The sequence below is a fragment of the Homo sapiens genome, chromosome 10 (genome assembly GCF_000001405.40).
Source record: "Homo sapiens chromosome 10, GRCh38.p14 Primary Assembly".
NCBI lineage: Eukaryota > Metazoa > Chordata > Mammalia > Primates > Hominidae > Homo > Homo sapiens.
In genome coordinates, this window is record NC_000010.11 from 1,371,566 (window position 1) to 1,398,413 (window position 26,848).

Sequence of the window (26,848 nt, forward strand, 5' to 3'; positions counted from 1 at the left end):
ATATCCGGAATCTGCATGGAATTCAAATAACTTAGCAAGAAAAAACCAAACAACTCCACAAAAAATTGGGCAAAGGGCATGAACAGACATTTCTCAAAAGAAAAAATATAAGCAGCCAACAAACATATGATAAAATGCTCAACGTCACAGGGGAAATGCAAATTAAAATCACACTGAGATGTCATCTTACCCCAGTCAGAATGGCTATTATTAAAAAGTAAAAAAAAAAAAAAAAAAAAAAATCCAACATGTTTGTGTGGATGCAGAGAAAAGGGGATGCTTGTGCACTGTTGGTGGAAATGTAAACTAATTCCACTTCTATGGAAAACGGTACAGAGATTTCTTAAGGAACTAAGAATAGAACCACCATTTGACCCAGCAATTTTACTGCTGGGCATCTACCCAAAGGAAAAGAAAATCATTACATAAAAAAGACGCCTGTACGTGTATGTTCACCTCAGCACTATTGACAATAGCAAAGACATGTAACCAACCTAAATATCCATCAACAGTGGATGAATAAAGAAAATGTAGTACATATACACCATGGAATACCATGTATCCATAAAAAAGGGTAAAATTATGTCCTTTGCAGCAACATGAATGGAGCTGGAGGCCATTATCCTAAATGAACTAACTCAGAAACAGAAAAGCAAATACTGCATGTTCTCACTTATGAGTGGGGGCTAAACGATGGGTACACATGGACATAAAGAAGAAAACAACAGACACTGAGGACTTGAGAAGGGGGAGGGAGGAATGGGTAAGATTCGAACAATCAGCTATCAGTACAATGTTCACTATTTGGGTAATGGGTACACTAGCAGCCCAATCCCCACCAGGGTGCAGTATACCCACGGGACAAACACGCACATGTATCCCTAAGCCTAAAATAAAATTAAATTAAATTAAAAAAAAGTTTTGAAATGACCTATCAAATGTTGCAGGCCCTCAGAACACATTAATTGTGACCATGAAAGACACTGTAAGCTGCCAACACCTTTTGAGGGCATGAAGAGGGAGGTGTGGGGCCCATCTCACAGGGTGGTGCCAGGGATTTGGGATCAAGAGGTTTGAAGGGCCTGCATTATAAAAATGATGTGATTTGGAAAATGCATTTATTTGCACTTGGAACAATTCAAATAGACAGTTCAAAATAGAGTATAAGAATTGGTGATTCCTTTAGTCCACTCCGAAATTTATTATCCCAAATAATTATTATTCTTGCCGGTCATAATTGCATACTCATAGTATATTAGAGCTGGGAGTAGGTCTGCAAGAAACTCATATGCTTACACCAGGGCAGACGGGGAACACTTGCTATGTTAGCTGCACGTCAGGATTCTTAGAAAGGTTTAGCATCTAACCAAGGAGATGAAAGATAGCTACAAGGAGAGCTACAAAACACTGAGAAAAGAAATTGAGACACAAACAAATGGAAAACCATCCCATGCTCATGGAATAGAAGAATCAATATTACTAAAATGTCCATATTGCCCCAAACACTCAGCAGATTCAATGCCATCCCTCTGTCAAATTGCCAGTTATTTTTCACAGTTAGAAAAAACAATCCTAAAGTTCATATGGAATCAAAACAGATCCCGACTTGACAAAGCAGTCTTGAGAAAAAGAACAGAGGAGGAGAGTACCACTCTCTGTCTGTCTCCGTGTCTCTCTCTGTCTCTGTGTCTCTCTCGGTCTTTGTCTCACTGTGTCTCTCTGTCTCTACCCCTGTTTCTGTCTCTGACACACACACACACACCCACCCACACACACACACACGCGCGTCTTGTTGGTAAAGGCTCCTCAGAGTCACTCACTCAGACTGGAAACTGATTCTTACCAACCCCTGGAGGGCTCCAGCTGGTAAACAGTGCCTGAGTGTGTAACATAACCAGTGCGTGTACGAGTGTGTGCCCGAGCATGTGCCTGTGTGTGCACATGTAATTGTGCATGTGTGACTGTGTGACTGTGTGCATGCGTGTGTGTGTGCATTATGTATACTTTGTGTGGATGTGTGTGTGTGCATTTGTGTGTACACCTACATCAGCTGGGTGGGAAATGGCAGGGGAACTGAGCAGAAAGCAGGATGGCATGGTGGCCCTGGGAGACAGCACAGCTCCCCTGCCCTCTTGCCCTCACTGGGGCTCACACCACACTTCTTCTCCCTGGAAAATTCCTGATGTGGACTCCATGCACCTTTCCTAATGAGACCACGTGGACTCCGCGCACCTTTCCTAGTGAGACCGCGTGGACTCCGCGCACCCTTCCTAGTGAAACCGCGTGGGCTCCGCGCACCCTTCCTAGTGAAACCGCGTGGGCTCCGCGCACCCTTCCTAGTGAAACCGCGTGGGCTCCGCGCACCCTTCCTAGTGAAACCGCGTGGGCTCCGCGCACCTTTCCTAGTGAAACCGCGTGGACTCCGTGCACCTTTCCTAGTGAAACCCGCTTCCAGTGAGACTCCGTGGGTGGCATCCCGGCCACCCACGCCCTGGCATGTCCTCCTGCCTCTGCACCCCAGCCAAGCACCTCATTCTGGAGACCTCTTAGAATGAGGCATCTGTGAACTGTGGCTTCTCTGAGGTCTTTGTGGGCGGCACCAGGTTTTCAGAGAGCTGCACGTATCCTTCCACTGTAGAAATTAGAGAAAAGCAGGCAAATAATTTGGAACTATTGATAAATACCACAAGCCAGGGTCATAGGACGATCATGAGCAATTTGAAAACTCAGGGAGGCATCTGCATGGGAAAATGCAAAATGAAATGATTTCCATCCACTTCTCCCACGGGCACCCTCCAGAGCCTCATACGCACGTGACCTTGTTTGATACGGTGTCCGGAATGTGGTGCTAAGTCTAAAGTTTTAACGCATTAAAGGACAGCATCTGGGGGAGAAAGGCCAACGCTTTATATTGTCATGACTGTGGTGAAACTTTTGCTTTCCAAGTGGAAGCTGTTCCGGTTGTGCAAAGCCGGATGGCCTAGGCTGCTGTCTTTCAAAGGTGGAGAGCATGTGCGGGTGGGGCCAGGCCGGGTGGGTCTGCCCTCCCTCTGCCCGCCGTATGCAGCGCTGCGCTTGCTCCAGAGCTCAGGCATCCTCTCCTCTGGCTCCCGCCGTCCGTCCTCTGCTGGGCCGTTTGCACGCCCGGCTTCCCCTGTGCGGTATCATTGGGACCGCATGCATCACTAATGACGCTGCGTGCCTGCGGGTCAGACGGGCTCCCGGGAGTTAGTCAGGCAGCGCGCCACGCTACATTGGAAGAGATAATGTTGCTTCTGGTGAAGGTTATTCTGCGGCCGAGCAGCCCTTTCCCTCCATGAAGCCCCACTTAGGGAGGGGAAGGCAGGTGCCTGGGTTCTCCAGGGCAAGGCAGAGGGTCTGGAAGCGACAGGAGGCAGGCTGGGGCCGGGGGTGGGAGGCAGTGGCTCCTGGCATTTGTGGAGTGGACACTGGCAGGCTGGGCAGCTGCAGAAGGGCCTCCTTCAAAGACTCGTCACGCAGGACCCCATGGGGCTGGGCCTGTGGTGCATGGGACTCAGGAAGGAGCAGGTGCGGCTGTCAGGAAACCTCTTTTCAGCACAACTCCAGGGCCCAGGGCCGCCTTTGTGCCGGGCAGCCTTGGGCTCAGCTGGTCCTCGCAGAACTGGGTCGGATCCCAACCTCTGGGCGGTGGTCAGCAGAGAGGTTACAGTGGCCAGATGGCAGGGACTCATGGCTGCTCAGTGTTGGAAGAGAAAACTCCTCAGAATTAACTGCCCCAGGGCAGACACGCCTTACAAACGTGGAGTTGTTCGGTCCACTCAGCCCAGACCAGCCTGTGGGTGATGGGCTTCCAGATGCGGCTCCCAGGCCCACTTCCCGCAGGTATAGGCATGGTGTGTGCCCTGTGAGCCTGTTCCCCGCTCTGCACCCTTAGATGAAGGGCACTCAGTCCCAGACAAAAGCCATGACCCTGTGAGGTTGTGGGCATCCAGCATCCACAGGGAAGCACATGGTATTCCCCAAAGGTGCAATACACGCCAGGTGGGATGAGAACTGTCCTCGTATTGGAGCCCTTAGACACACAGACTCACAGGGTGTGAAACACGGGAGACCGGAGGAGGCAGGGCAAGGTCATGTGTGCTCCTACCACCCACCCTTGCTCCTGACATATGTGCGTGCACACATGTGCACAGATTCACACGCCACACACATGCACACACGCACACATGTGCACACACATGCACACACGCACACACACACCACACACATGCACACACACACGTGCACACACCGCACACATGCACACACATGCACATGACACACATGCATGTGAACTCCCACACCACACACGTGCACATACCACACTTGCCACACATGCACACACGTGCACAGACACACACCACACACATGCACACACACACATGTGCACACACACGCACACACACGCACATGACACATATACACGTGAACTCACACACCCCACACACGTGCACGTACCACACACCACACATACCACATGCATGAACACACATCACGACACACACACACACACGCACATCTTTTTCTACCTTCCCGTGCATCTGGATTACAAATGGATAAGGCCGCGCTGGCAATGCCACAGGGATCTAGGAAGGGAGGGCTGATTCATTTGCCGGTTTGTCTTTGAACAATCTATGAAAATAAAGTAAATAAACAGCATCTACACAAAGGGGAGCAACTAGTACATTGGTTGAAAATGAGACTCCTCAAGCATTTCAAGAGCATTTTAACTACCATAAATAACTTAAAGTTATTGTTACCTCTAAGTTTCTACCCATTAGCATGGAGGCTCTGAGAGTTACATAATGTTCACAGCCCAAGGCAGCTTGGCTGCCAGGACAGAGCCTGAAAGGCTTCCAGAAAGTCCAGAAAGTCTTGGCCTCATCAGGCCCTCTCCTCTCCTCACTGCCCAGTGTGGGGGTTCTTATGGGAGGGCAGGGGGAAGGAGAAGCTCCTACGTGGGGTGGGCACGTCCCTCTCTCAGGAATCTCACGGGCAGAGCAGTAACTTTCCCATGTAGTCAGGTGGTTTATTTCTCCAGGTCTTGGCCTCTAGTTGCTACAGAAAGGCGGCTGCTGCACCTCTGTAAGTTTGAAACCATTCGCTCCGCACCCCAAATGTCCTCTGGCCCTTGCTGAAGCTTCATTTCTTTTTCTCCTGAGGGAGACCAGCTCCAGCCGGGATCCCAGCAGCTCCAGGTGTGGAAGAGGAGGAAACAGTGAACTTCCCCTTCCCACGTGTTTCCAGGTCCACACGTCAGGCTCAGCTTTGGTGGGGCAGGGGGGTGGGTGGGGGGGGTTGTGTGCTCCTGGGGTGTGTGTGTGCGCATGTGCTTGTGTGCTCCTGGGGTGTGTGTGCGCTCCTGGGGTGTGTTTGTGTGCACCCCTGGGGTGTGTGTGTGTGGTGCGTCCCTGGGGTGTGTGTGTTTGTGTGTGCTCCTGGGGTGTGTGTGTGCGCATGTGCTTGTGTGCTCCTGGGGTGTGTGTGCGCTCCTGGGGTGTGTGTGTTTGTGTGCACCCCTGGGATGTGTGTGTGCGGTGCGTCCCTGGGGTGTGTGTGTTTGTGTGTGCTCCTGGGGTGTGTGTGTGCGCCTCTGGGGTGTGTGCTCCTGGGGTGTGTGCGTTTGTGTGCGCCCCTGGGGTGTGTTTGTGTGCGCCCCTGGGGTGTGTGTGTTTGTGTGTGCCCCTGGGGTGTGTGTATGTGCGTGTGCTCCTGGGGTGTGTGTGCACACATGCACATGCCTGGTGTGTGCTCCTGGGGTGTGTGTGTTTGTGCTCCTGGGGTGTGTGTGCACATGTGCATGTGCGCTCCTGGGTTGTGTGTGCACACATGCACATGCCTGGTGTATGCTCCTGGGGTGTGCATATGTGTGTGTGTGCTCCTGGGGTGTGTGTGCGCATGTGTGTGTGCGCTCCTGGGGTGTGTGTTTGTGTGTGCTCCTGGGGTGTGTGTGCACACGTGCACATGTCTGGTGTGTGCTTTTCACTTTCTCTATCCCAGATTTCAGAAGTAGTGATCAATAAATGGACTCATCTGGAAATTTTCCAGTTTGGGTCACCAGAGAACAGAAGCAACCTGTGTCAAAGCTTAGCTTGAATCTCAAGCTGTGCTAGAGAGGGAGCACAGAGTCTGGGCCCAGCCCTCTCTAGTGCCGGCACACCCTCCTCCTAACCCCCTCCTTCCACGTCTAGAAGAGAAGGGGTCCAAAAGAGGGCATTGACCTTCGCTCTGGTCCTGACACTCAAAGGCTGTGATGCTACTTTTGCAGAACAACCTCCATTTCCAGTATAGTTAATTATTATGCTGTCTGGGAAGGGCTGTGTTTCCCACGCTGATGGCAAAGTACACGGCTCCCCTTGCAGACCCCTCCCACTGCCTCTTGTTGGTCTGACCAGCAATCCCAGGGTCACCTCGCCTCCTCCCCATCCCGTGACAACAGGCGTGTGCTGACCTCTTCCTGGTTGAAAAAGGAGCCATTTGCCAGGTGGTGTTAAAATTTGAGGAGCTGTTCACATGGTGTGGAATGTCTCGTCTTCTTTGTTAAATGCCTGACAATTTGCTGTGAACCAGAGGCCAGCTCCTGCAGCCACACACTCCTGGATCCTCACCCCTGCAGTCTGCTCCCGAGATGCCGCTCAGATCCCTTTCCTAAACCAGCCTGGTGCCATCCTGAGGACACTGCTTGGCCCCTTTCCAGTTTCATGTGCCAGAAATATTTGCACGGTGTAGGGGGGCTCCTACCCAGCCCTTTCCTTGTTAAATACTTGTACAAACCGCGCTCTAAGACACCGTGACCATTTTTCTTTCTGGTCTGATGGAAAAACAAAGGAAGGAGAGGAGAGAATAGTCCAAGAAAACTGGTTAATTTCTTGGAATAATTTCTCAGTCCCAGAGACATTACTGACACTTTCCTGCCCTTTAGGTAAGGAAGGGATGCCAGGTGAGGATGGGACTGCAGGTGCGGGTAAGGTTCCAGGTGAGGATAAGATTCCAGGTTAGGATGGAACTGCAGGTGAGGATGGGACTGAAGATGAGAATGGGACCACAGGTGAGGATGAGACTGCAGGTGTGGGTAAGACTCCAGGTGCGGGTGGGACCACAGGTGAGGATGACACTGAAAGTGAGGATGGGACCACAGGTGAGGATGAGACTGCAGGCAAGGGTGGGACTGCAGGTTACAGTAGGACTCCAGGTAAGGATAGGACCTCAGATGAAGACAGGATTGTAGGTGGAGATAGGATTCTGGGTGAGGACAGGACCTCAAATAAGAAAAGGATTCCAGCTGAGGACAGAATTGCAGGTGTGGGTGGGGTTGCATGGAAGATGGGGATTCTGTGGAGGAATGAGAGCAGATACTGTCTCTCCAGGTAAGACCAAACAGACCCTCCCAGATGACCCCAGGTATCTCAGGTTTTGGGGACTGCAGGGGACCCCTGCACAAAGGATACAGGGGCCTTTGTGTACTTCGGGGAAGGGAAGTTGCTTACTGAGGGTGTCGTCATCCTCCGTGTTTGTGATGCCAGGACTCAGGTGCTTGAAAGGAGCGAGGAAGGTTGACAATATGCTTACTTTATCTGGAAAGAAAAGAACAGGAAATGCACTTTTGACATGGAGTTGCGGAAAAACTCAATGCTTTTATAAGTTCTTATTACTGAATGTTGGACAAGGGAGGTGGAGAGGTCACTTTGGTTTCAGCCATTTCATTCTGGTTCAGTCTTTTATTGAATATCTGACAGCATTTTATCAAATTCCTCTCTCCACTCAATTTAAAACTCTACGATTTCCTTCTTTCTCCTTCTCTTATTTTGGCATCCCCCTTCATCTTGCCCATGTCCCTTAAAACTTGCTATCTCCAGGGCGACAACCTTGCATCTGTTTACAAAATCCTGGGTAGGGCAGAGCCTTCTGTCGAGATCATTTCACAGAGATGGGCTAAAACAAGTAAAACAATCTCACAATTAAAAGAGAATGGTGCCAATAAAGCCAAGACTATCTTTTCCTATTAGTGCAGAATTTGCTTTCTGGGCTTGACATGCATTAAAAATAAAGGACCTGTCACTTAGCGGGTGTTTGGCAGAAGTAGAGGAGGGGAGGAGGGAGCTAGCGGTGTGGGGCAGAGCATGCACAGTCCTCCCGGAAACGGCCAAGCGTCCTCAACGCGGTGGCTGGAATTCCAGGGACTGCCTCTGCCTGAAGCCTGTGGCCAGGTAAGCAAAGGCCAAGCAGGTCCTGCCTCCTGGGTCCCTACCACAGTGAGTGCAGCACAGCTGTGGAAATAGATCCAACCAGGAGATGCCGCTCTTCACCAATAAAGTATGCTTTTTTACTCCCATGGTCTCAGCAATTTATTTCATCAATAGCGAGATTAAGGAATGGTGGGTTTGAGGTATGATTGAGAGAAATAAAAATGACTAATAAAGGGATCCAAAAGAAAAGCTCCTTAATTTGGAGATTTCCACCACCTAAATGAAGCCACCGCACTTGGGAGTATTGGTTCACACGGCAGAACTCACTGCACTGCAGAGGAGACGCCAACAGAGACACAGCACAGGGATCCCCTGGCTCCCAGACATCCTCCAGCCCGCACGGTTCACATGTGCCATTATGAACCTGGACCACACTGATTAAGACGCCCCAGGTGGAAATGTCAGCGTTGCTCATCCAACACGGTGCAGAGCGCGACAGAAGCATGTCCTAGCATCCCTGCTAAGTTCCAGGGCACTGGCTGTGGTATTGGCTACTTTGCTAAGTGGGATTCTTCCCTCTGTTTTGGAAGCTGTGGATATCCGCGGACGGGATTTCCCAGGAGGTCACTGAGTTTACATCACCCTGTAACAAGGACGGCTGTCCACAGGTGCCCCACCGTGGCACTGTATACCTCCTTCAGTGTGATTTCTCAAGAAAACATGAACTGCTGGTTTCATCTGCCCTTGGCCTTCAGGCGTCCAGACTCAGCCTGAAACTGGCTCTTTTTCTTTTGAGGCTGAGCCTGTTTTCTCCTTAGCCAAGATTTCCAGAGTCCAGGAGAGTTCCCATTGAAATTCATTCGGGAGCCTGTTAACAGCTGTTGTTTCCAGTAGGGACGGGCAACAGAGAGAACAATAAATAACTCAAATATAAAATGCCTTTACCTTCTTTGTTCTACCGAACAAGAATAAACCAGGGAAGGGTTTGCTCTCCTAAACCCTTGCAGCCGAAGCTAATTTACTACCAGAGAATGAAATATCTTGCTTGAATTATAATTTCATTAAGGGAGTCCAATAATGTTACACTAAGAGTGTGAAGCTCAAATGATTCAGTCTGGAGGATCTCAAGATGAAATTACATTTTTAATAAAGTAGGGCTACCAGCCAAACACTCACAAAAATGCACTAAACTATTTCAGACTTTACTTTAGCAAAATTGTAAGATATTTAAGGATTGTTTTAGATCCATCAAAGTTGTTACTTTCTGATGTTGTTAGATTTATCAAATAAAAATTCAGGACATCCAGTTAAAATTGAGTTTTAGATAAACAATAGACAATTTTTTCATATATAGTCATTTCTAATATTGTGTGGGACACACACATATATATTTGTGCATATACACACACACACACACACACACATATATACTTAAAAACCTTATTCATGGTTTGTCTGAAATTCAGTGGAAGGCAAAGGACTTCAATAGACATTTCTCCAAGGAAGATGTACTAATGTCAATAAGCACATGGAAATGTAATCAACATCACTAATCATTAGGGAAGTGCAAATCCAAACCACAATGAAATACCTCCTCACACCCATTAGGATGTTTATTAGAAAAACAAAGCAAAGCCAGAAGATAATGTGTTGGTGAGGACATGGGGAAATGAGAGCCCTCCGGGAATGTAAAATGGGGGAACTGGCAGTTCTGCCTGCTGGCGGGTCAATGCCCAAATAATGGAAACTCAAGGAGAGATCTGCATCCTCATATCCTCGGCAGCATCGTGCACCAGAGCCCAGAGGTGGAAGCAACTCAAGTGTCCTTCAGTGGATGAGTGGATAAGTGAAATGCGGTACAGCCAAGCAACAGATTAGGCAGCCTTAAAAAAAGGGAAATCCTGCCATTTGCAACCAGTGTGCATGAAACTGGAGGACCTCATCCTAAGTGAAATGTCAGGCATAGAAAGACAAATACTAGTGCATGGTCTCACTCACACGTGGAATCTAAAAAAGTTGAATTCACCGAAGCAGAGAGCAGCATGGTGCTGCCAGGGTCCATGGGGTGAGGGGAGAAAGGAGAGAGTGAGGAGGTGTTGGTCTAGGGTACAAACTTCCAGTGATAGGATGAATGAGTTTTGGAGTCTTAATGTGCAGCATGGGGACTCTGGCTAATAACATGTATTGCCCACTTGAAATGGGATAAAAGAGTGGATTTTAAGCATCCTCATCCCCCACAATGGTAACTATGGCTGGTGACAGATGTGTTAATTAATTTTTGGTGATCGTTACCCAATGTATATATCAATTCATCGCATTGTACACCTTGAATATATTCAACTTTTATTTGTCAAATAAACATTTTAAAATTAAAATAAATATGGAAAAAACAATGGCAAAACAAAATCAAATGTAACTGGGCATCCTGTATTTTCTCTGACACTCCTAGTTATGCCTAACCAACTTCTCTTTCCACGAGTGCAGTGGACTTCAGATTTCATGGGACAGCTTGAGCAACCAAACTGAAGCAAAGGAAACAGAAGGCCAGCAGAATTGCTAACACTTATTTATTGCTAACAAGTACACCTGAAATTCCAACTATGATCTGCAATCACCGTGAAGGCACATAAGCTCTGGGAGAGAAGCAATTATTTCCAAGAAAGGGCAGACCGCATCTTTAGAGTGTTCTTAGAAAAGAGGTGAAGAATTACATTTTTAATATAGAAAAAGTACAACAGAAGTTCTTTGGCATCAGGGCCTCTCTTTGTGGTTTCCTCGGAACTCATTGTCCATTTGGGATCTGATGTATATTCTGTTAGTTCAATACGAGTGGAACTCTGATATTCAGCTAATTCGATTTTTTGCATGTTTCTCATTGTCATCTTTTGGAAATCTGGTTTTACTCAAGCTTCTGATGAAAAAAGGATGCCATACTTTTTTTTTTTTTTTGCCTCAGTTCTGGACCTTCGGAGTGTGCCAGGAGAAGCTGCATCACAGGGCTCCCCACGCTACCGCCGCCTCCCCACCCTCTGGGTAATGCCTAGAAGAGGCGGCTGGGCTGGCCAGGTGTTACTCTAGAAACGTCAGGGGTCGGCTGGGCACTCCCCACTCCTCAGCTGCTCACATCCTGGGTTCTTGAGCTCGGGCTCCCATCATCGAATATGGACCAGCTGGAAACTGACCTGGGGGACGCAGTGGCCTGGGGCCGGCCCTGGTCTAAGAGTCAAGAGTCTTTTTCAGGAAAGGTCTGATGGCCGTTTTTAATGTACGACTTGTAAGTTCCAGGACACTTGCTTTATAAACCTTGTTACTCACTGTGGAATAAATGGCATTTACCTGAAGCAATTTTATGTATTTTAGGGGGCATCTGGGTGCACATCTGGAGGGCACAGCAGCCCTTGCCTGGAACCACGTGCAGCCATGAAGTGCAGTTGGCATCTGCAACACTGAGGTTCTGAGGTTATTGTCGGTTTTTCATATTACGACCGTTTGGGAGAATTACTACACTGTCAGGGCTGAGGGAAAGAGATACTCACTGGAATAATTTTTAGGTATTTTCAGATTTCCTAATCATCTTGTTTAGAAACAAAATGTCCTGAGTTAATAGTTTACTTATTGTTTCTTGTTAACATCTTGGGGTGAGGATTTTCCTTGAGTATGATTAAAAAAAAAAAAGCGATGGCTTATTTTCCCTGAAAGGCACATGTGGATATGCCAGCAGTTTTTCATGCAATATCAGGAATTCATGAGTCCCCTGAATTCATCGCCTTCCCCAGAATGCTTGATATGAATTATCAGGCTTTAAGAACATGTGGTTGAAGTATTAGGTGTTAGTGTACTTTGAAAATCAAAATAACTGCACATACTGAGGATACCTGGTTACTTGGTTATTAGTCACACTGCATAGTCACTGGGACACGTCTTAGCTTTCTTGATGTATTTATTCTGCAAAGAATCTGAGACATTGAGAAGTTAGCGGATGTGCCCAGGACTATCTATAAGGTCCTCAGCACGTCCCAGGCTTCCAGCCTACAGTTGCCTTCCACACTGAGCAAAGGCTGCTTAAGGAGATCCTCATTTTCCTATCTTTTTCTGCCCGAGTAAAGTTTATCCTTGTAGTGGCTGCTGAATTTTCTGGATTTTTCTTCCTTGCCTTTGCCTTTGTTAAATTTTATTGAACCTTCTATGTTTCATTTATCCTATCTTTAAGATCAGAACAGCATCTTTGTTTCTCGGGCCACAAAAGGAAGAATAGTGCAATAAATAGTTTTTAATTCAAGTATGAAAAGCATTTAAATTTAGGGTCTGGTTAATATTTTGTAGAAAAATCAGATGGACTCTCCTCTCTGCAGAAGTAATCACATACGATGTGTTCATAAACAAGTTACTGGGGTTGGCTAAAAGCCCCAGGGATAGACGGTGCAGAGGAACATTCCCTCATTGTGAAGAAGGAGAGCCAGTTCTCTACGCTTCCCGGTCCAAGGACCGTGACTCAACACCATTAGCAGAGTGGGGCACAGTGAGTTTTCAGTTCTGTCTTACCAAATTCTTTCTGATCTATTGAAACCAAAAAGGGAAATGGTAAGTGCATTATAGCCTCCTCCAAAGTGAGTCTGGAGAAGACAGGAGTGTGTGAAGTGATCTTGAGCCCACATCACAGTCCTAGAAAGGGCAGGAAGGAAGGCTTTGCTGGCCGTGAATGGACAAGCCTCTGGCCAGGATGAGGGAGTTGCAGCTCACCAGCTGTCTCATTGTAAACAACAGCAAAACTGGACAAAGTCTATGAAACAACCGTTTTCAGAGTTTGGATGCCAGGCAGTGCGTGACCATTGTTCCTGAGAAAAGGAAAGCATGAGAGTGCACCCCACAGCTCCACAACTTCCCACCTGGAAGCTCTTTTCAGCAGTAGAAAAGTGGACCTGGAGAAGAACACAGCAGCACTGATAAGTTGAGAAGGCAAAAACCAAAGTTTGCACTGCTGAGACAACTAGAATTTGAGGGCAGAAGGAAGCTGCTTCAGAGATCTGGTGGGGCCACTGCTGGATTTGGTTGAGACTCAGCCCCACATGAGAAGGAGAGACTCAGATTTCACAGAGAGCAGTGGCTGGGGACCTGCGAGCTGAATGAAAATTCAAATGATGGCACAATGCTGAAAGTCTGGCATTCTGATCAGGCGGAGTCATAGATCACTGAAGAGCTAGGATTCAGCTGGGATTGTAAAAAGGTCATGTTTTAGGACTAGGAATACTCTAGTCCTAGATTAAGAACTGCCGTGAACATGCGCTAACAAAGACTTAAAACAAGCTTTGAAATCATCTAGTTGATCATTTCAACTAGAAACTGGTCAGTAATAAACTACCCTTGGTCAGTAATAATCTACCTGCTAGAAGAAAACTCAAGGAACACCGTGAAATCCATATTCTGAACAACATGGTATCCACAAAGCCCAGCAAATAATGATAGAGTAATAGTAATGACATTGCTAGAAGTGAGAAGCAGCAGGAGAATATGACCAATCATCAGAAAAAAATATAGTCGAAGTAAAAAGATCTAATGATGCTGAAATTAGCAGATAAGGACATTAAATAGATGTTAGAAATATTTTTAAGAATTTAAAAATAAAGGGGATATGATAAGTAAATAGATGGGGAATCTTGGTAGAGAAATGGAAACTATATAAATAAAACAAAAATTCTCAAGCTCAAAAACATAACATTTGAAATGAAAAAATTTACTGGATGGGTTTCACATTGGATATGTCACTTTGCAAAACATATCAGTAAATTTGAAGGCAGATCAATAGAAACAATCAAAACTAAGCACAGGGAGAAATAGAAAAGGTGAAAAAAGTGACAGACTCAACGATCTGTTGGACAATATAAAGCAGTCTAACTTATGTATAATTGGAATTCAAGAAAAAAATGGAAAAACTGTTAAGGTAGAAAATATACTTTAAATAATAGTTTAAAAGTTTTCAATTCTTTTAGACACATCAAATCACAGATCCAAGTATCTCAATCAAACTTACATAGAATAAATCTGAAGAAGACTGTACCAATCAGCACAGCCAGATTCCTGAAAACAAAAGATAGGGAAAGTATTTTCAAAGTAGCCAGAGAAACAGGACATCTTACATACAGAGCAACTGCAATGAGAATGACAGAATACAAATCAAAAATTTGCTAAAAGACTATTAACTCTTTAAATACAAGATAATGACAGTGTACTGTAATGTTTATTGTATATTTAGAAAATATATAAAAAGAGCAGCACACACCTTGGGATGGGGTAAATATAATTATTCTGTTGCAAGTTTCTTCCTTTGATCATGAGGTAGTTGGCTATGATAAGTTAAACATGCATGCTTTAATCTCTAGATCAGTCACTAAAAATAATACAAAGAGGTATAGCTAAAAAGTCAACAGAGAAGATAAAATAGAATACTAAAAAAGATTGATTTGTTGAAAAAGGCAAAGAAAGAGAAACAAAAAAATTGAATAAACAGAAAAAAATTAGCAATATGGTACACTTAAATCCAAATATATCAGTAATTACATTAAATGTAAATGGACTGAGTACTCCAATTAAAATGCAGAGATATTCAAATTGTATTTAAAAAACAAAACTTATATTTTTTATTGCTACAAAAACTTACTTCAAGTATAAAAATATAGACAGGTTAAAAGTCAAATGACTGAAAAAGATACATCATGTAAATGCTTATTTTAAGAAAGATGGAATGGCTATGTTAACAATAGACACAGTAGTTTTCAAAATATGAAATATTGCCAGGGATTAAGAAAGACATATCACAATGATCAAGTCATCAAGATAATATAATACTTGTTGGTGTTTATGCACTCAACAGAGTTTTAAACAACATGAATAAAAAACTAGCAAAATGAAGGAGGGTAGAAACATACATAATGCTAGTTTGAGATTTTAACATTCCTCCCCTAGTTACTGATAGAACAAGTAGTGAGAAAAAGGTGGTATAGAACAAAAAATTAGAAGAACTCTAACAGCTAACTTGACCTAAGTTACATTTATAGAACACTGTATAGAGTATTTGCTGAGATGGACTGTACACTACAAAATAAAAAAGGTCTCAATAAATTTTATAGGTTTGAGATCATAAAAGTATATTTTCTGGCCACAATATAGTTATGTTAAATATATGTAACAAAAAGATATATGGAAAATCTGTATATACTCAGAAATTAAGTATCACCATTGTAAGTGACCCAAGAGTTAAAAGAGAAATCACAGGAAAATTAAAGCCTCTTTATTCTCAGTGATAATGAAAGTATAACATAACACAATTTGTGAAACATAGTTAAAGCAATGCTGAGAGACATATTTTAGCTCTAAGTTTATGCTTATATTAGAAACAAAGAAACGTCCAACATTATCTAAGCTTCCACTGTCAGAAGCTAAAAAAAGAGAGTACATCAAACCAAAGTTGTTAGAGGAAGAAACTACTAAAATTAATAGTAGGAGTCAAAATAGGAAGTGGAAAAAAATAGGGAAAAAACCCTAATGAAGCAAAAAAATTGGCTCCTTGAATAGGTTTGATAAATCTCAAGTTAGATTAATCATGAAAAAGGAGAAAAAAACTTCCATGTTTTCTAATTAGAAATAAATGAGGGGATCTTACTATAGTTCCTGCAGTCATTAAATAAGAATATGGGAATAATGTAAACTATTGTATGCTAGTCAGTGAAAAACATATTTGCAATGGGAACATTCTTTGAAAGGCAAAAACTGTCAAAGTTCACTGATGGAGAAGCAGAAAACCAGAAGAGTGCAATATATATTAAGTAAATTTAATTCATAGTAAAAACAACCTCACATGTAAACTAGGCTCAGAGAGCTCCCTCTGGTGAACTGCAAGAAATATTTAAAGAAGAAATTATACCAATTCTGTGCAAAATTTTCTAGAAAAATGGAAGGGGGTGGACTATCAAAATTATTTGATGAGGCCAATGTTAATCTAAAGCCAAAACCAATCAATGATGTTATAAGAAAAAAAACCTACAGACCCATGGTCCTCACGAGCAGATGAGTTTTTAACAAGATATTAGCAAATCAAGTTCATCCCTATATAAAAATGTTAATGTATCATGAACCAGTGTGGTTCATCCTGGAATGCAAGATTGGTTTACAGTTTGAAAATCAATCAATGTAATTCACAACCTTAACATAATAAAGGGGGAAAAATAATAGTATCTTAAAAGATGCAGAAAAAACATTTGAGAAAGACATGCCAAACCTCCACACTCATATTTACAAGCTATTGCTAAAATAAGTTAAAGATAAATAAATAGAAAGATACACCATTTTCACAGAATTCAAGATTCAATATTGTTGTAATATCAATTGTCTCCTAATTTATCTATAGATACAAAACCCATTCTTCATGAAAATTCTCACCACACAAAGGACTAGAAGAAAATTTCCTCAAATTGATACAGGACATATCCAAAAGTTATAACTAGTATTATATTTAATGACGAAAGAGTGAATGATTTCCTTGTGGTACTGGGAACAAGGCAGGGATGTCTGCCTTCACCACTTCTATTCAACATTGGACAGAGGTCTTAGTTAGTGTCATAAGGCCAGAAAATAAAAGTCATAGAGATTGGAAAGGAAGTAGAACTGACTTTATCCTCATGGCATGATCATATATGTAGAAATTCCTAAGGAAAGATGAAAACAACTACCAGAAATAATAAGTGAATTCAGCAAGGTCACAGGACAGAACTCCAATACACAAAAGTCTACATGCTTCTATGTACCAGTAATGAAAAAGTGGAAAATTAAATTAATAAACAATACTGTTTGGACAAAAAGGTATAAAATACTTAGGTATAATCTGAAGAAAAAAAAAGACATGCCAAACCTCTACACTCACATTTACAAACAATTGCTAAAATAAGTTTAAAAAGACCTCAATAAATAGAAATGTATGCCATTTTCATAGAATCTAAGGTTCCATATTGTTACAATATCAACTGTCCCCTAATTTTTCTATAGATATGATTCGATCTCAATCAGTACTCTTGTTGAAATTGAAAGATAATTTTGAAGTTTATATGGAAATGCAAAAGACCCAGAATAGTCGAAACAATATTGATACTGCAGAACAAATACAATGTAGTAATGGCGTAAGGCTAGATAAATACCAGTGGAACAAAAGGGGAAGTCTAGGAATAGAATCAAGTCTGTATGATCAACTGATTTTCAACAAAGGTACCAAAGCAAGTTGATGAAGAAAGTCTTTTTAATAAATAGTTCTAAGAAACTAGACAACATATTGAAAAAAATGATTCTGAGCCCTACCTCACATCATATGTGAAAATGATCACAAGATGGATCACAGACCTAAATGAAAAAGCTAAAACTATAAATTTTTAAGAAGAAAATTGAGGAGATTACTTTCATGGTTTTCATTTAGGCAAGGATTTCTTAGCTAGGAGATAGAAAGCACTAACTACAAAAGAAAAAAATGACAAATTAGTTTTCATCAAATTGGAAAAATTCAGCTTGTTGAAATACACTGTTGATTAAGCTAAAAGGAATGGATAGATTGGGATGATATATTTACAATCAAGATGACTGTTTTGTATCCAGAATATAAAAACTCTTGCAACTTAATAATAAAGGATAACAAATCTCCACTTATAAAAAGTGGGCAACATACTTGAACAGAAACTTCACTGTGGAAGACACTACAAAGACATACAAATAGCCAATAAGCACTTCCAAAAGACCAGCCTGGGCCACATGGTAAAACCCCATCTCTACAAAAAATACAAAAATTAGCTGGGTGTGGTGGTGGGTACCTATAATCCCTGCTACTTGGGAGGCTAAGGTTCAAGAATCGATTGAACCGGGGAGGCAGAGGTTGCAGTGAGCTGAGATCGTGCCACCGCACTCCAGCCTGGGTGACAGGCAGAGTGAGACTCTGACTCAAAAATAAATAAATAAATAAATAAATAAATAAATAAATAATAAATAAAAAATAAAGGCTGACGGCGCTACATGTTTACATGTCAGTAACCATGTGGAAAATCAGAGCTCATCCCCTGGTATAGTAACTTCAAGAAACTTTGGAAAATGTCTTGGTTGTTAAACATACACCTTTCCTACGAATTACCACCTCCACTTCTAGATATTTAACCAAGATAAATGAAATGTATATGTTCACAAAAAGACTCACATAGGGATATTTATTCAAACTATTCGTCACAGCTTAAAATGGGAGATATTCCAAATGCCCATCAAGAGAAGAATGGATACATTAATTGTGGTGCATTTATACAATGAATTACTCTTCAGTAAAACAAAACAAAATGAGTGAAATATTAAAATTTTACATTATGATATAGATGGATTTCAAAAGCATTATGCTGAGCAAAAAAGTCTGGGCACAAAAAGGAATATGCAGTGTGGTTCCATTTACATAAAGTTCCAGGAGGCTTTCAGCACTCCGTGGAGAAAGCAGAGCATGGGCATCTCTGAAGGGTGCTTGTAGATTGTGGGGAAGAGGCGGAAGTGGGCTTCTGCTGCTGAAATGAAAAGATGCTGTATTTAGATGGGGCATGTGCTACATGTGTGTCTGCATTTGTCATTGGACTGTAACATGTGCGGTTTGTACATTTTGCTGTATGTAAATTATACTTCCATTATTAAAAACAATTAAAAACCAAAAATCATGACTGGACAAGAAAATAAATGATGTAAAGCAAGCCTCAAAGAATTGTTGAATCTATAAAGAAGAAAATTGAGGATGATAGATATTAAATGAAGATCTCTGCTAGGAAAGCATATCTGCTTATGCCTCTACTTATCGGACTTTGGGTTTCCGTTTTCTTTTTTATTCCCCCTATTTTATAGATGTGAAAGCTCAAATATATTAAAAAGCCTTAGACATTGCAATAAGAAAAATTACAGTCTCAAAGACAAAGTCCTTCAGAGCCAACTTTGGATTTGCAGATCCTCTGCATCTACATAAAGTGAAGGGGGAGTAACCAGTGAGGGGCAAACAAGAGCTCCAGAAAGCTGCAAGCTGGGATCAGAACTGTGAGCCTCAGGCCTGAAGGAAATAATGTATACAGTGGTCCATTTCCAAGACAACGTGCCTTAAATCGGCTTAGGTCAGCAAACTACAGAAAAAACAGGATATACTAGGCCCTTGCTTGGATAGCCAACACCTGCTTTTTGGCTCACCCCCTGCCCCCTTAGTTGCCCTCACCTGAACCAAAGAAGTTTAGTCTAAGATGAAAGTTTACTAGCCTGCGAAATAGCTCATTTTGTCTGTTCTTTTCAGCCTGCCCAGCTACTTAGGTCACAAGTCAAATACCTGAAGAGCCCCTGAGCTGACTGGGATTGCAATGCATTGTGGGTTGCAATAAAATGCAGTAAGACAACCCTAAAGAAAACACCTAAAGCTCCTGCCCAACAACCAATAGGCGATGTCTGGGAAGACTGTGACCCCCCCATAGTGCTCAGCCTATGAGGGACTGGGGGAGGGACCTGTGCACTAGGGGATAAATTGCTTGTTGAAACTGTGCTAGGTGTGCCTGCCCATCAGACACCTGATCTTGCAAGCCCATCATTAAAAGACTCACTATCGCTGTTCTCCGGGTCTCTAAGTCCATTCTTTGGGTTTGGACAAGTGAGTTTGTTTCTCACAGGCCCAACCACACATGCCTTGGTGGTCTCTGAGGCCTCAGTTTACCCACGATGATTTGAGGGACTGTGAAAAGATCAATGTTTTTGGAGTCCACTTTGTGGATTGAAACTCTGTTTCATTTACAAACAGTTTATCAAACAATTTTTAGCAAGTATGATGAAAACTTAAAAACATCTTTTGGTGCGTGATGTTATGTCAGTTATCTGGAAACTTATTCATGTGAAATAACACATTGGCTGGAAGTTTCAATAAAAATGATAATAAAATGATAACTGCCAGGATGTCTAAGAATTGGATTTTTTTTTTTTTTTTTTTTTTTTGTGAGACACAGTTTCACTCTGTCACCCAGGCTGGAGTGCAGTGGTGTGATCTTGGTTCACTGCAGCCTCAACCTCCTGGGCTCAAGCGATCATCCCACCTCAGCCTCCTGAATAGCTGGTGCCCACCACCATGCCTGGTTAATTTTTATATTTTTTGTAGAGATGAGGTTTTGACATGTTGCCCAAGCTGGTCTCAAACTCCTGAGCTCAAGCAATCTGCCTGCCTCACCCTCCCAAAGTGCTGGGATTACAGGTGTGAGCCCCCGTGCCTGGTCAGAATTTGATCTAATACTCTACCTCCTAAAAAGCACTAAATATTTCATAGGATAGGCTATTAAAAATACATAAATCGAGCACTTTGAGTCTGTCCTTATTTCAAAAATTGAAAGTGAGGTTTGCACTTCTGCCTTTCCCTTTTGTGGGCCATGTCCATTCCACATCTTGCAAAGCTCTGCACTCCTGAACAGTTACATAACCGGGATTGGGGCTGACAGTTGGAGTCCACAGAACTCTCTTGGTGCCCTCAGGCTACAATACTTCAGCCTCTGTTACAAGTTTCCTTCTCATGTTTTCCTTTTGCCAAAACACGCTCTGACAGATGGCCTCCCTCAGGCTTGACCCACTTTCTCCATAGCTGTATATTCGAACAGAATACAGGTATGTCTTCAAATGGATGCACTTCTATCTAAACACAAAAGCAAATCAGTGTGGACAGGTGGAATGCCCTGAGAAGCAAGGGGATGATTAACCTCCACGCAGGCAGGAGGAGGAGTAACATTGCAGACGAAAGGCAAGGAGTTCGTCTCACAGGTTTTTAGGAGGAACATGGGTTTTACAACGCCATCTCCAAGCTCCCGTCCTATGAACAACACAGGGAGCTCAGGCAACTTTTAAAGAGATTCTGGGTCTGCACTGTGTTTTGTAAAACACGAGAAGGTTTGATTCTTTTGGTGAATGTTTCCTGGCAATTTCAGAGATGGATTCATAGGTTTGGTCCTGAAAGCGTCCAGTTAAAACGGAGGTGGCCTGCGGTGTCAGCCACATGTTCACTGTCATGGGCTGAATGATATCCTACAAGAATTCATGCTGAAGTCTAACCCCCCAGTCCCTCAGAATGTGACCGTATTTGGAGAGAGTTTCTTTAAAGAGGTAATTGTGTTCAAAAAAAAACATACAACTCCTAATTTCCTTCTCAAAGTCCCCACATTTGTAGGAAGTAGTCTCTCTGTGAAAGTGGCAGTGAGCCTCTGGCAGTGACAGGAGCTCCTAGTAGCTGTGCATGTAGAAACATCACTTCCAACTCATAGGGCTCAAAGCAGGGCTAGCAACTAGTCGCACAGCCAAATTTGAGCTATTGGTGGAATGTGTCCATTTTTCATGGTTTAATTTCTTCTTCTCTCTGTTGGTTAAAATGTTTCTAGTATTTTTTAGTTTTAATTTTTGTGGGTACATAGTAGGTGCATCTATTTATGGGACACATGAGATGTTTTGATACAGGCGTGCAATGCATAACAATCATATCATGGAAAACGTGGTATCCATCCCCTCAAGCATTTATCCTTTGTGTTACAAATAATCCGATTATACTCAGTTATTTTAAAATGCACAATTACATTATTATTGGCTCTATTCATCCTGTTGTGCTATCAAAAACTAGGTCTTTTTCATTCTTCCCAGTTATTTTTTGTGGGTACGCATTAGCCATCACCACCTTCCCCATCTCATGGTTTAATTTCTAAGGCATTTTGTTCTCTTACCAGGTAGCTTTCCTCAAAGCCAGGGCACTGGGACATTCCTGTGTCAACACTGGGACCTGTGACAGGGCACGGTTTTCACAGCGACTATGGTACTGTGCACAGTCTCAAAGACCACCCAGGCCACGCGTTATGCACCACGCTCCAGCTAACCTTGGAAAAAGCTGAAACGCCAACACAGACACACACCAGATTGTTCTGTGTGCCCTTCCAGATGTGAGCGGTGGGCACAGATACAGGTGGTCCTTCAAATGATTGATGGGAAAAGGTGACTCCTTGCAAGAAAGTATATTTAAATTAGGAAAATAGTCTAAAGGTGTGTGTTCACACTTCACAAGGAGAAACTCACAGCTTTCCAAAGGATTAGCCAAGGCTCAGCCAAATTTGCAAAGTTCTAGACATGAGTGCTTCTCCTGGGGGTGGAGGCTGCAGAAGTTGCCTGACATCATCCTCGTCCTTTCAGGGTGGTGTCCTCCGTGAACTCTGCCTTAGGGTGTAATCATTAATAGCACTTGCTCCACTCACTCGTCCCAGGTTTAGAAGAGAAAGCGCAGAGCCATCCCACGTATGAAAGAAGCTCCTTTGGGAGGCAGGTGGCCTGAAGGCAACCACACTCTAATCCCCAATCAGCTTCTGATTCCAAGGCCAAATTCCTCACGTCCTACTGGAAGCTTATCTGATTGTTCTGTAAGATTTCTGAGTCCATCTACTCAAAACTGGACAAGTATGTCCTGTGAAGATGCAGTGTGTCCTTGTTCCTCTGATCCACTTAACGCCATCCACCCGGGGCCCAGCCTCAAGGCCCGCGGGTCACCTCTGCCTACCTGTTGCCCTCACTGCACCTGTTAAGTGCCTCAGCTTCTCTAGAGGGTCCCTCCTGGTGTTTCTCTGCTCCACAGCCTGCTCCTGCTGCTTCGGTTCTCATCTGGGCTTTGCAATAATCTCCTATTCATCATGTTCACCAATCTATTTGTTAACTGGTTGCCAAAGTCATTTTTCTTGAGTGGATGTTGTGCAAAGGCCCAGGAGGGGAGAGGGAGTGACCTCGTGGAATTTCACGGAGGTTCGTGTGACCAGTGCTGGGGGGTCAAAGGTGGGTCACGAGCCACAGAGGAGCAAGTCAGGCCCACTGGGCTCCCTGCACTGCATGAAGTCACTGACAACCTGCCTGGGGCCTGAGGAACGTCAAAGGGTCTGAAGCCAGGGCCTGAGATGAGACTTGCATTCTGCAAAGACCTGGTAGGAGCGTCTAAGGGGAGGAGCTGCTTCCCCTCCCTGCTAAGGAAGAGGGTCACCCCATATACCAGGACTCGCTGTGCACAGGTCATTTTTTCTTTTCTTTTCTTTTCTTCCTCCCTCCTCCTCCTTCTTCTTCCTCTCTCTCTTTCTTTCTTTCGACAAGATCTTGCTCTGTCCCCAGGCTGGAGTGCAGTGGCACAATCACAGCTCCCTGCAGCCTCGAACTCCTGGGCTCAGTTGATCCTGCCTCGGCCTCCCAAGTAGCTGGGACTACAGATGCGTGCCACCATAACTGGCTATTGTTTTATATTCACTAGAGCTGAGGGCTTGCTATATTGCCTGGGACCTCGGCCTCCCAAAGTGTTGGGATTACAGATGTGAGCCACCGTGCCTGGCCAAGATTTTTTATTCTCCAAGCCTAATCTGTTCTTTCTGAATTCACTGCTCAGAGCTCCGGCCCGACAGCTGATGACACCGTCTTGAATCGAAGCCTAATGCACAAGTCAGGCTTTAAGCCCCATGGTGAGTGGGTGAGCCAGGGACCTTGGCCACCTCCCTCCTGTCTCCAACCTGGGACTCTCCGACGGTCCTGGGAGGAGCTCGCTGAAGGCCTCAGCTTCACAGAGGTCCTGACAGTTCCTTGATAAGAGAATGGCAAGGTCCTTCCTGCCCTCCTCTAACTCCTCCAGCCCTGATGACCGCAGCCTCATACTTGCTGTTACTGCCCAGCCCAGGGGGCAGTGATGGGCCGCCAGGCACTTCTCCCCAGCGGGGCGTCTGCTCCCTGAGGGCCCAGGCTGCCTCCTCGGCGCCTCCAGGTTCCAGTGCAGGGGCTGTGAGACTCTTCTGAGTGCTGGACCTCCCTATAGCTGTTGTCCTCATCCCTGCGACGCAGACCATCCCGGCGTCGCAGACCATCCCTATCTGCGTCCTGGGCAGCTGCGGGAATCCAATGAGACAAGGACCGGGAGTGCAGCAGGGTGGGGGGCTGCCCTCCTGTGATGGCCAGGCTCGGCTCACTGTGTCTCATAGCGGCTGCCTTCAGCGCCCCCGGCTTCCCCAGGCCTTGCTGACGCTTGCCCTTCTGAAGCCAGTCATGACCAGCACTTTGCTTTATTTTCTACTGAGCTTCTTTGAATCTGGAAGTGCGGCATCGTGAACCCTCCTAGCAGGGTGCCCTGTCCTCCGCTGACCGGACTGAGCCACATTGTCTGCTCTGAGTCCATGTTTCTTCAGCACTGGTCCAAATGCGGGCCATTTCTCACCTTTTCTACGCATTAGACATTCTAGTTAACTGGAAAGCGAGCAATGATCGCGTAAGTAATTTGTTTAGAGAGCAGGTCAAAGAGTTAATAGCTGAGCTTGCAAGTCTAAATCTAATTATTTCCTCAGCACTGAGCTCCTGGCTGGTACACGGGATGGGTTTTATTATTTTGAGCCTCCCGACTCTTCTCCTCGTGCGACTCTCTCCAGCCTTGAGAGTGCTGCCGGACTGAACTTCCCATCCCTGTCCCCACCCCCTCGGTGACCCATCGCAGCTGCACGGGTGGGCGCCCACGCCTCGGCCGACGCAGCCTTCACGCCCGTCTCTGGTGAGTTTGGGCTATTTGAACAAAGGATAGAAAAGCCTGTCATTCATTACTTCCATCATTCATTTGTTCAACAAAAAGTTGCCAGGCACGTGCTGTGTCCCAGGATCGAAGAATCCGGCCCTGAGCTCCTGTCCTGCTCCATTTCCTCCCTGCCATCCCCGCCTGCAGTGTCCCTGTGACGCCTACTAACCGCCCGCCTCTCCCCTCCCGAGTGCAGGCTTCCTGGGTCACCGTCCTCCTCTCCCCTCCCGAGTGCAGGCTTCCTGGGTCACTGTCCTCCTCTCCCCTCCCGAGTGCAGGCTTCCTGGGTCACCGTCCGTCTCTCCCCTCCCGAGCGGAGGCTTCCTGGGTCACCGTCCTCCTCTCCCCTCCCGAGTGCAGGCTTCCTGGGTCACTGTCCTCCTCTCCCCTCCCGAGTGGAGGCTTCCTGGGTCACCGTCCTCCTCTCCCCTCCCGAGTGGAGGCTTCCTGGGTCACCATCAGCCTCTCCCCTCCCGAGTGCAGGCTTCCTGGGTCACCGTCCGTCTCTCCCCTCCCGAGTGCAGGCTTCCTGGGTCACCGTCCGTCTCTCCCCTCCCGAGTGGAGGCTTCCTGGGTCACCATCAGCCTCTCCCCTCCCGAGTGGAGGCTTCCTGGGTCACCATCAGCCTCTCCCCTCCCGAGTGGAGGCTTCCTGGGTCACCGTCCGTCTCTCCCCTCCCGAGCGCAGGCTTCCTGGGTCACCATCAGCCTCTCCCCTCCCGAGTGGAGGCTTCCTGGGTCACCGTCCGTCTCTCCCCTCCCGAGCGCAGGCTTCCTGGGTCACCATCAGTCTCTCCCCTCCCGAGTGGAGGCTTCCTGGGTCACCGTCCGTCTCTCCCCTCCCGAGCGCAGGCTTCCTGGGTCACCATCAGCCTCTCCCCTCCCGAGTGCAGGCTTCCTGGGTCACCATCAGTCTCTCCCCTCCCGAGTGGAGGCTTCCTGGGTCACCATCAGCCTCTCCCCTCCCGAGTGGAGGCTTCCTGGGTCACCATCAGCCTCTCCCCTCCCGAGTGGAGGCTTCCTGGGTCACCGTCCGTCTCTCCCCTCCCGAGCGCAGGCTTCCTGGGTCACCATCAGCCTCTCCCCTCCCGAGTGGAGGCTTCCTGGGTCACCGTCCTCCTCTCCCCTCCCGAGTGGAGGCTTCCTGGGTCACCGTCCGTCTCTCCCCTCCCGAGCGCAGGCTTCCTGGGTCACCATCAGCCTCTCCCCTCCCGAGTGGAGGCTTCCTGGGTCACCGTCCGTCTCTTCCCTCCCGAGCGCAGGCTTCCTGGGTCACCATCAGCCTCTCCCCTCCCGAGTGGAGGCTTCCTGGGTCACCGTCCTCCTCTCCCCTCCCGAGTGGAGGCTTCCTGGGTCACCGTCCGTCTCTCCCCTCCCGAGTGGAGGCTTCCTGGGTCACCGTCCGTCTCTCCCCTCCCGAGCGCAGGCTTCCTGGGTCACCATCAGCCTCTCCCCTCCCGAGTGGAGGCTTCCTGGGTCACCGTCCTCCTCTCCCCTCCCGAGTGGAGGCTTCCTGGGTCACCGTCCTCCTCTCCCCTCCCGAGTGCAGGCTTCCTGGGTCACCGTCCGTCTCTCCCCTCCCGAGTGCAGGCTTCCTGGGTCACCGTCCTCCTCTCCCCTCCCGAGTGCAGGCTTCCTGGGTCACCGTCCTCCTCTCCCCTCCCGAGTGCAGGCTTCCTGGGTCACCGCCCTCCTCTCCCCTCCCGAGTGCAGGCTTCCTGGGTCACCATCAGTCTCTCCCCTCCCGAGTGCAGGCTTCCTGGGTCACCGTCCTCCTCTCCCGTCCCGAGTGCAGGCTTCCTGGGTCACCATCAGTCTCTCCCCTCCCGAGTGCAGGCTTCCTGGGTCACCGTCCGTCTCTCCCCTCCCGAGTGCAGGCTTCCTGGGGCAGGGCTTCGCCTGCTTCCTGCAATTGTGTCCAGGGCGCAGGAAGCTGCCCAGCACAGGCAGTGGCACTGACACGGGGTGAAAGACCATGAGCGCTCCTCGGGACATCTGGCCTTTCACCTGTGCATGG

The 26,848-nt window shown here is 46.0% G+C and overlaps 1 protein-coding gene across 1 annotated transcript in view, besides 3 other annotated features; it reads right to left on the bottom strand.

Moving 5' to 3' along the window:
- The window catches only part of ADARB2 (adenosine deaminase RNA specific B2 (inactive)), a 560,213-nt gene that overhangs the window by 194,253 nt on the left and 339,112 nt on the right, over positions 1-26,848 (bottom strand). The window contains exon 2 of the mRNA NM_018702.4: positions 7,509-7,595. Within this exon, the coding sequence (NP_061172.1) occupies positions 7,509-7,595 (87 nt within the window). The remainder of the gene's footprint in view (positions 1-7,508; positions 7,596-26,848) is intronic.
- Positions 7,914-8,618: an enhancer, noted in NCBI's record as "H3K27ac-H3K4me1 hESC enhancer chr10:1421674-1422378 (GRCh37/hg19 assembly coordinates)". NCBI's record gives its function as "activates a minimal SCP1, AML or CMV promoter by ChIP-STARR-seq in naive H9 embryonic stem cells {active_cell/tissue: H9 hESC(naive)}" and the evidence as "EXISTENCE:reporter gene assay evidence [ECO:0000049][PMID:30033119]".
- Positions 8,619-9,321: an enhancer, noted in NCBI's record as "NANOG-H3K27ac-H3K4me1 hESC enhancer chr10:1422379-1423081 (GRCh37/hg19 assembly coordinates)". NCBI's record gives its function as "activates a minimal SCP1, AML or CMV promoter by ChIP-STARR-seq in naive H9 embryonic stem cells {active_cell/tissue: H9 hESC(naive)}" and the evidence as "EXISTENCE:reporter gene assay evidence [ECO:0000049][PMID:30033119]".
- Positions 9,551-10,062: an enhancer, noted in NCBI's record as "NANOG hESC enhancer chr10:1423311-1423822 (GRCh37/hg19 assembly coordinates)". NCBI's record gives its function as "activates a minimal SCP1, AML or CMV promoter by ChIP-STARR-seq in primed H9 embryonic stem cells {active_cell/tissue: H9 hESC(primed)}" and the evidence as "EXISTENCE:reporter gene assay evidence [ECO:0000049][PMID:30033119]".